This window comes from Homo sapiens, chromosome 2 (assembly GCF_000001405.40).
Source record: "Homo sapiens chromosome 2, GRCh38.p14 Primary Assembly".
In the NCBI taxonomy this organism is placed as follows: domain Eukaryota; kingdom Metazoa; phylum Chordata; class Mammalia; order Primates; family Hominidae; genus Homo; species Homo sapiens.
The window spans coordinates 204,303,374-204,312,128 of NC_000002.12; the positions used below are offsets into that span (position 1 = coordinate 204,303,374).

The 8,755-nt window shown below is 43.2% G+C and overlaps 1 pseudogene; it reads left to right on the forward strand.

Annotated features, from left to right (window-relative positions):
• On the forward strand, window positions 3,396-4,171 carry DSTNP5 (DSTN pseudogene 5; annotated as a pseudogene).

Below are 8,755 nucleotides of genomic sequence, written 5' to 3' on the forward strand. Positions count from 1 at the left end.
TTCCTCTGGAGAGCTCTTCCTGCACTCCATGTCGTCCCCAGGAGCTATCAATTCTAATGCCCTGTTGTCCATCATTAACAGCACTTCCATAGAATGCACTGGATCACTCAGGCGGGCAATTCAGTTCCCCACTTGCATCCTAGAGATTGGTTCAAGGATGGGCATGTTACTCAACCAAGGCGGCCCATTTGCATGTAAGCTGAGATTGATAGCTGGATTCCGGAAAAGAGATGTCTTCTGTGGATGACTGATTAGTCCCAGCTCTTTACTCTTCCTTCTATCTACACTCTTTGGCCTGTAACTTTGCAGTTCTTCCAATTAAAATGTAAGACATATCTCCTTGCCCCTTGGCTTTGGACTGGGCTACATGGCTTATTTGGTCAATGGGATATTAGTAAACATAATGTGAGCAAGGGCTTGAAATTTGCTTGTGCTTTGGGATTTGTACCTCTGCTTTTGACTTGAGAAAAGCTTCCTCAGGGGAGCTTTATTCCTTCATCGTTGGCCCAAGAATGAACACAAATGGAACAAAGCTACTCTGGCTGCCTTAGAATGAAGTAAAGCCTCCCTACAGTCAACCTTCAAATTGATTAAATAAATTCTTCCTACACTATTGAGATTTTGTGGTTGTTACCTAGCATTTCTGAAAAACAATGAGTAACATACACTTTCTTTCTGTGCAGCTGCTAAGCCAGAGAAAACGTAAATTCAAGTTACAGTGTCTGTCTTGTGGAGACAGCTCAGATGACAATAAGGCTAGGTAGAGGTTAGCAGAGTCACGAGATAGAGAGAAAAACAAATCCATTTTGTTTGGCCCACGGACCCAGCTGCCTAAAGCGGTTGAATCTTCCTTTGTAGCTTCCAGTTACAGGGGTAACAAATCCCTTTTAAAATTAGTTATTTATTTATTTACTTATTTAACTTCCTTGAGGTCAGTTTGAATACAGCTTCTGTCACTTGATACAAGAATAGCCTAGACTAATGTGTCGTGTAAACCATCTCTGATGCCTTCCCTGCCTCTAGATTGCACTCTTCGCTGCTACCCACAGAGCTGTTTCTGGCACCTGAATAACTGGCTTTCAGCCAGATACTGTGTTGGAGGGTATAAAAGATTTTCCACTTGAAGTTTTCTCTATGAATTGTCCCATCGGCCCACCCTTCCTCCTGCACAGGCTGCAACAGAGCGGGGCCTACAGAGGACATGGCTTGGTTTCCATCAGCTGTGGCAGGGTTTCGCTGTCATTTGAAAAGACTAACTAGATTTTGACTCTCTTCAGGGTCTTGGAAGGACAGGAAGCTGTGGTTGAATGCAGGAGACTTCAGCTTTCTCTTTCTTCCTAGGGGCGGGCAGTATCTAGCCAAATTTGGTGCATGGGGTTGGTAGCTTCATGCTTGAGTTATAGGTTCTAATCCTAGAAGGTTGATTTATGTCCCAATGATACAAGATTCACGCCAGAAATAGAGACCCCCCACCCCCACCATATGTATACATATGTATTTTTCTGCTGTTTCCCAGCTCTTGGGGTATTTCAGAAATGTAAGCCGTAAGATACTGTGAATATGTCCTACTCTGTGTGAATAGCATGTGAATGCCTGAAGGGCTCCATTTTTCTTACCAGTGTGTGAGATCCTAGTTTTGTGTCTTTCTCAGGTTATTCTCTTCTTGCAAGTCTCTTCCCGCTCCCCGCTCTTCCATCACAGGGCTTCTATCCTACAACTCGCCAGCAAGAGCAAAAAAACGGCACCTCATGCACACACATTTGCTTGATAAGAAATTGGAGGAGGTTGAATCGCCATGGTGAACAAAGGCCCCGGGCTCCTGCCAGCATGTGGGGCCAGACCTAGAAATCAAACATGACGTCCCTTCCGTGGCAGCCACTCCACATGCTAATGACAGGTCCAGTGGGCTTGTGTTCTTTCAATTTTAATTATGAAGCAGAAGTGTAAAAAGATCGTGTGGCAGGGAACGCTGTGGAGCTTGACAAGGTATTTTATCAACATATTATTATATTCAGAATTAGGCAAGCCCAGAGGATGGTGCAGGGCTCTGAAACCAGCCGAGGTCTTGGCAGACCCACTGTTTCCTCACCTGTGGGAGTGGCTTCAGGGACAGAGGCTTAACCACCCTGAACATGAGTCTCCTCAGGCCTGGGAATTCAGGTCAAGAGTGTTGACAGAAGGTGTCATAGTCCCCTGTGGAATCCTTCAGTGTGGATTTGGTTTTCTTCCTGAACATCCACACTCATGGCCACGTGAGGGATGTGGTCCCATCAAAGTCGTGTTGTGAAGCGACCTGTTAACAAGCTCCTTGGATGCATTAAGCATTCTACATAAATGTCTCATGTAATGCTCACAATGATGCTGTGAAGTAGACCGATGTAAACACTGCCATGGCCTCCAGGATCCGTTTTCCCGTTTATCCTCCCAAATGCATAGCAGCCTGCTTTTGTTCAGATGGACAATATCCCAACTAAACAAATTTGATTTCTTGGGCTTCCTCAGAGCTTCGGGAGACCCTGTGCTTCAACTCAGGCCAATGAGTAGTAAGTGTGAATTCCCTGGGGAAGGCTCTCTGGAAAGCTATTGCTTTCAGACAAGAAATGACAGATTCAGTTGGCTTGTGCCCTTTACCTGCTACCTACCATCTTCCTTTTTGTCTGTGTGAAAGATCAAGATGCCTGGAAGGACAGCAGTCTCCTCACAGTCATGCATGACAGGACAGAAGAGGGAGGAAGAGAGAAGGAATCCAGAATCCTGACCAGTACATCCGTATCATCATCTCCATTTTACAGATGGGGACACTGAGGCTCAGAAAGGTGAAGCCGTTTGTATAAAGTCACAAATTCAAACCTCCATATCTCTAAATCCAAATTCCATGCTCTTTCCATAAGTTCTGATTAGAGTATAGTCTTAAGATCAGAGATGTTAAAGAATATATGTGTGCATTTATTTTTATTTTTATTTTTTTTTAAACAGAGTCTTGCTCTGTTGCCCAGGCTGGAGTGCAGTGGCATGATTATGGCTCACCGCAGCCTCCTTCTCCCAGGTTCAAGCAATTCTTCTGCCTCAGCCTCCCCAGTAGCTGGGGTTAGAGGCACCTGCCACCATGCCCGGCTAATTCTCCCATTTTTAATAGAGATGGGGTTTCACTATGTTGGCTAGGCTGGTCTCAAACTCCTGACCTCAGGTGATCCACCCGCCCCAGCCTCCCAAACTGCTGGGATTACAGGTGCGAGCCACTGCGCCTGGCTGCATTTATTCTTAACTCTAAAACATACTGTTGGTTTTAGGTGGGGCTAAATTCCTGGGATAGGGAAGCTACTTAACAGGCAGGCATGGATGAGAGGTCAGTGACCATGGAGGGCTCAGAAAATTCTTTCGTGGTAAGATTTGGTCCACAGCCCTGAGGAGGATGCTCAGTGCCCACTGGCTCTCTCGTCCTGCGACCCTGCAACTACTGCAGAGAAGATGGCCTCAGGAGTGCAAGTTAGTGATGATGTTGCATTTTTTATGACATGAAAGTTTGGAAATGCTCCACACCAGAAGAAATCAAGAAAAGGAAGAAGGCTGTCATTTTTATTTTTATTTTTTTTTGTTTCAGTGCAGGCAAAAAGTGCTTCATGGTAGAAGAAGGCACAGAGATCTTGGTGGAGATGTTGGCGTAACCACAACTGGTCCTTTCAAACATTTTGTGGGAATGCTTCCTGAAAACGATTGCTGCTATGCTTTGTATGATGCACACTTTGAAACTAAGGAATCCAGAAAAGAAGAGTTGATGGGTTTTTGTGGGGTTTTTAAAATTTTTTTTGTGTGTGTGGGCACCCAACTAGAACCTATGAAAAGTAAACTGAGCTATGCAAGCTCCAAAGATGCAATCTAAAAGGAATTTTAAGGCATAAACATGAATGGGCCAGAAGATCTCAATCGGGCTTGTATTGCTGAAAAGCTAGGTGGGTCCTTAATTGCAACCTTTGAAGGATGCCCTGTGTAGATCATCATTCAGTGCCATACATTGAGAGCTTCCGTGTTTAATGTTATTCTTTCACTATATAAATAAAGCATATATATTTAGGCCAGGGTCTCACTGAGGGGGAGCTGTCTTGTCATTTTTTAGAGTAAATATTCTAGAAACACATGCAAACAGTCCTAAATAAATCTAAAGTCTAAAGTTAAAAAAAAAAGATTGGGAATTTCTGGGTATAGCCTTGTATATACTAACAGCAAGGCGATAGAATTAAATAAAAACTACCATGAAGAAAGAAAGAGGGAATATCACTAAGTGGAAGTTGTATGTAAATTCGAAGGAAGCAAATGAATTCCTATGGTGTTCTAGTGATAACACACAGGATTTTTACTGTCTTCTCTACCCCTTTCTTCACGCCAGTAAAATAGATTTCAGAAGCACTGTTACGCCAGAAAGGAAATGAAAGAGATTGCATTTGAGTTTAAGACACTGGATTTTAAAATTTTTGCTATTCAAAAGGTTCTGTGCCCTTTACACCCAAGTAGGGGTGAAATTACACTGAAAAATCACTTTTTTATTATCTTTAAAATGGGGTTTTTACAAAAGGGTGGCAGGAGGGAATCTTGTCATGGACTTCTTTTTCTTTAATGAGCTCTGGTTTCTTAATGTATCATGGATCTGCCTTAAAAGCCTCTTTATTCACATGTAGTTTAACTTAGGGAGAATTAAGCAGGTCAAACCCAAACACGTTTTTCACTTGTACCAAGAATAAATGATTTTCCCCTGGAAATGCCTGAAGAAGAAAATTATAAAGAGAGATTTGATTCTAAAGTCCAGAACCCTTGAGCCCTGAACTTCAGGGATATTGTTCTTGCTTTGATCACAGATACAGAAAAGAAGAAACAAAACCTCATATGTTCTTATCTGTTTCTTGCCTTTAGAAGGGAAAGACCACACTGGGTTTCTCCCAAGAAGTGAGAAAAGATATGCATAATTTAAAGGTAATTTCTGGAGGGATATATGGTTTAGGACCAACTTTCCCCCAGTCAGCTGACTTAGGACTGCATTGTCCCCAATCAGATGGCTTAGTACCATCCCTTCTAAATCATCAAAACTGCCCACAGATGTCTGGGAGTATCCAGCAGATATTTATCTAATTACTACAGTGTAGTGAGAATAAATTCGATGCTAAAGGAAGGGAGAGATAATGGAAGATGTGGCGTCGTATGTCAGGACTTCTAAGCCAATCTGACAGCCATGGTTATGCCAAGGGCATGTGCGGTCCAGAGCAGGCCACTGCATGCACTCCCTTCTCCATGCTGCAGAATGTTTATTCAGGTGAATCCAGGTAAAAAATGAATACACCCTTAAATGGTGAAATCGTAAGCAATGGCTGTAAGCAGAAGTGGTTCAGGGCCAAAGAAGCTGTTTGAGGTAAAGGCACCTCCCAAAGACAAGGGACAGGAACAGGAAGGCAATTGATGCTCAGAAGATAATGCCATTTCCATTCATACTGGCTGGGAGAGCTGGATGAGGTGTGCAAAGGAAAGAAGGCATGGCTAAGGCTGACACATGCTCATTTGTACAGATATTTTAATAATAATAGCAAACAGTGAGCCTTTACTTGTGCTAGGCAGTGTGCTAAGAACCTTTACATGGAGAGCCTCATTTTATTTTCACAAACAAACTCTATGGAATTCTTTCTAGATCCTTTAATAGAGAGGAAGATGAGGCTTAGAAAAGTTAAGTAACTTGGGCATTACCTTGGCTTCACTATGGTAGTTAGGGTAGTTAAACCATGATTCAAACGTGAGCAGCCAGATCCTCGACTTGACCTCTTAACCCTCACTAAAGTCATGATTTTTACTTTGTGCTAGTCAATACCTTGAGCCCTGGGAATACCAACGTGATTGAGACATTTGCCTGTGTCTTGGAGCTGATTATATTTTAACTTATAGATTTGTAACATTAAATAGTTCTGCCATGATAATTATCTTTCTTTTGAGGACTACACATATAATCTACCTGATACATTTGGATTCTTTCTAGTCACTTTTCACTAATTACCAGATTTATTCCCTGCCTGACTTAGCATCTTGTCCCAAATCAGATAGGGAGGAGAGGGGAAGAAATGGAGGTTAGAAGCCTCAATTCACCTCACCATATGGACACGTACAGAGAATCAGAAGCGAACAGAACTTCTAGAATAAAAGCAAAGCCCATGTGTTATAGATAGGAGGCTGGAGGAAGGGGAGATTAATTCTAAGTGGGGGAGATGGGGAAAGCATCCTAGGAACAGTGACATTGGGCTGGGTATTGAAGCCTGGTACTGTCACCTGAGCACCTGTTTATCCAGCCACCTAGACCCTGAAGCAGATTCATTTAAACTTTGTGGCCTGGAGATGGTACTGCTTGCCACATAGACTTACCCCACCAAAACTGCCCAAACTTCCTTCATGTCCTGGGAGGAAAGGAAGAAAAAGAGGAAGGAAGGAAAGAAGGAAGTTAGGAGGGAAGGAAGGAAAGAAGGAAGGAAGAAGAGGGGGAAAGGAGAGAGGGAGAGAGGGCAAAGGAGGGCAAAAGGATGGAGGGAGGGAGATGGCATATAATGAGAAGAACAAAGGACAAGTAGAGAAAGAGCCTAGTTATTTCTTGAGCTCTCTCAGTACTTAAGGGCTCTCTCTGCCTCCAAATCCTAAATTTTGGAGCCACCTTAAAGAATCCCCTTGACACTGATTGTCTCATTAGTCAGTCTCAACCTTGGCTTCAAGGAAATCTTGATCATTTTCAGGAGACATTGTCCAGGGATGCATTATTTTTGTAAATTCCCAGGTGATCTAATGTCCAGCCAACATCAAAGACCTTTGCAATGGACCGCACAGGGCAGACAATCCCCTCTTGTGATTGTACTTCTGCGACTCTGCCAGGCTTTTGGCCTCACTTGGATGCTGTGTGGCAGGTGAGCCTTGTCCATGTTCAGATCATCCTCAATGCTGAATTGGAAACTGCCTTGCTCTCTGTTAAGTACCAGGGCCCTGTAGCCATATAAAAGGGTTGAAGTCTGGAAGAATTCATGAGGCCCAGTTCTCTTTTTTTTTTTTTTTTTTTGAGACAGCGTCTGGCTCTGTCGCCCAGGCTGGAGTGCAGTGGCGCGATCTCGGCTCACTGCAAGCTCCGCCTCCTGGGTTCACGCCATTCTCCTGCCTCAGCCTCTCAAGTAGCTGGGACTACAGGAGCCCGCCACCGCTCCCGGCTAATTTTTTGTATTTTTAGTAGAGACGGGGTTTCACTGTGTTAGCCAGGATGGTCTCGATCTCCTGACCTCATGATCCACCCGCCTCGGCCTCCCAAAGTGCTGGGATTACAGGCGTAAGCCACCACCCCCGGCCGAGGCCCAGTTCTCACAATCTGGTTCCGCTTAGTTAGTCTTAAGCAGGAGTGGGGAATAAAATTTCCAGTTAATAGCAACCTCAGGGTTTTACTTCTTGTTGAACTCCCCTGGAAAGCACCAAAGAACCAGTAGAAAAGACATGACACTGTTTGAAGAGGGTCATTTGGTCCTAATGAAGAAGATAAACAAAGTGGGTTAGTTGTTTCCTGCTTAGAGAAAGGTCACTGGGGTGACCCTGTGAACGGGTCTTGTGAATTGATATTTTTAAAACCTCCATCTTATCTTCCTTATCAATCACTTTTCACAATAAACAATACAATTTTATGTAGCACATGTTATTTCCTCTTTTCAAATGGCTCTCAGTAACCCTATTTGGCTAAACAAATAAATAAAAAGTCTTTGGGAGGGCATGTTGATGTAAATTACCACCAACTAATGAGGCCAGCTGGGATCATTCTGACCAGGAATCTTTAGACCTTCTACAGTGCATTTACTTTTCTTCAATCCTCCACCAAACACTGTGCCAATGGTCTTCAGGCTTTAGCTTATTGACTAAAGTTGTCATAAAGGTGCCAACTTGAGCCCTATCATGGTTGTTATGTGGCTGTTGACAGTCACTGAATTAAAGACCCCTAGACCTGCTGCTCACCCAGCCAACACTAGATGTGTAACAGATGCCCAGCATGCTTAGGAGCTACCTTGAATGGATTCATTTCTATCACCACATCCTCCGTGTGACACTCTGACCTTGTTCAAGGAACACCTGTAGCTATTTCTCAAGGCATTCAGCAAGAACATGAAATGGTCTCAAGTTCAAAGGTATCCCATAGTTTTTGTTCTTTTATTTAAAGCTTCTTGATGTCTTAGTCCTATTCACTGTGTGATTTTTTATAATAATTACATACTAAGTCAATGGCCAAATATAAAATGCAGGAGAAAAATCATGGAGCTATATAAAGCCCGTGACTTAGTGGACTCATTTTGTATTATAGTAAAGATGTCAGGAACATGGGAAATGTTAACTAACTAATGGTGTTCTGGAATCTTCCAACCCAAAAGATTCTCCAGCGAGTCATTTTCAAAGAGCTCTTGAAATAGTTTTAGAGACTTTCGCAGGCTAAAGAAGTGGGTACACTGAATAGGAATAAAGATATTCGAGAAGGCTTTTGCCAAATACCCTGTTGTTATTCAGGAGGCATTTTGGCATTTAATTTACTAATTAATTACCCGTCCAATTCCTTGAGAATGTCAGATTTCTGAGTGCCAGTGCGAGGACATCATCAGCACTCGGAGGGGGAGTGAGTGCTGGCCTAATGAGGTTTGGTGCTTTCCTCCCTTTACCAGAATCCCCCACCCCAAGAACAAAGGGCCTCTTCTCTCCAGCCCAATATCTCAACAGA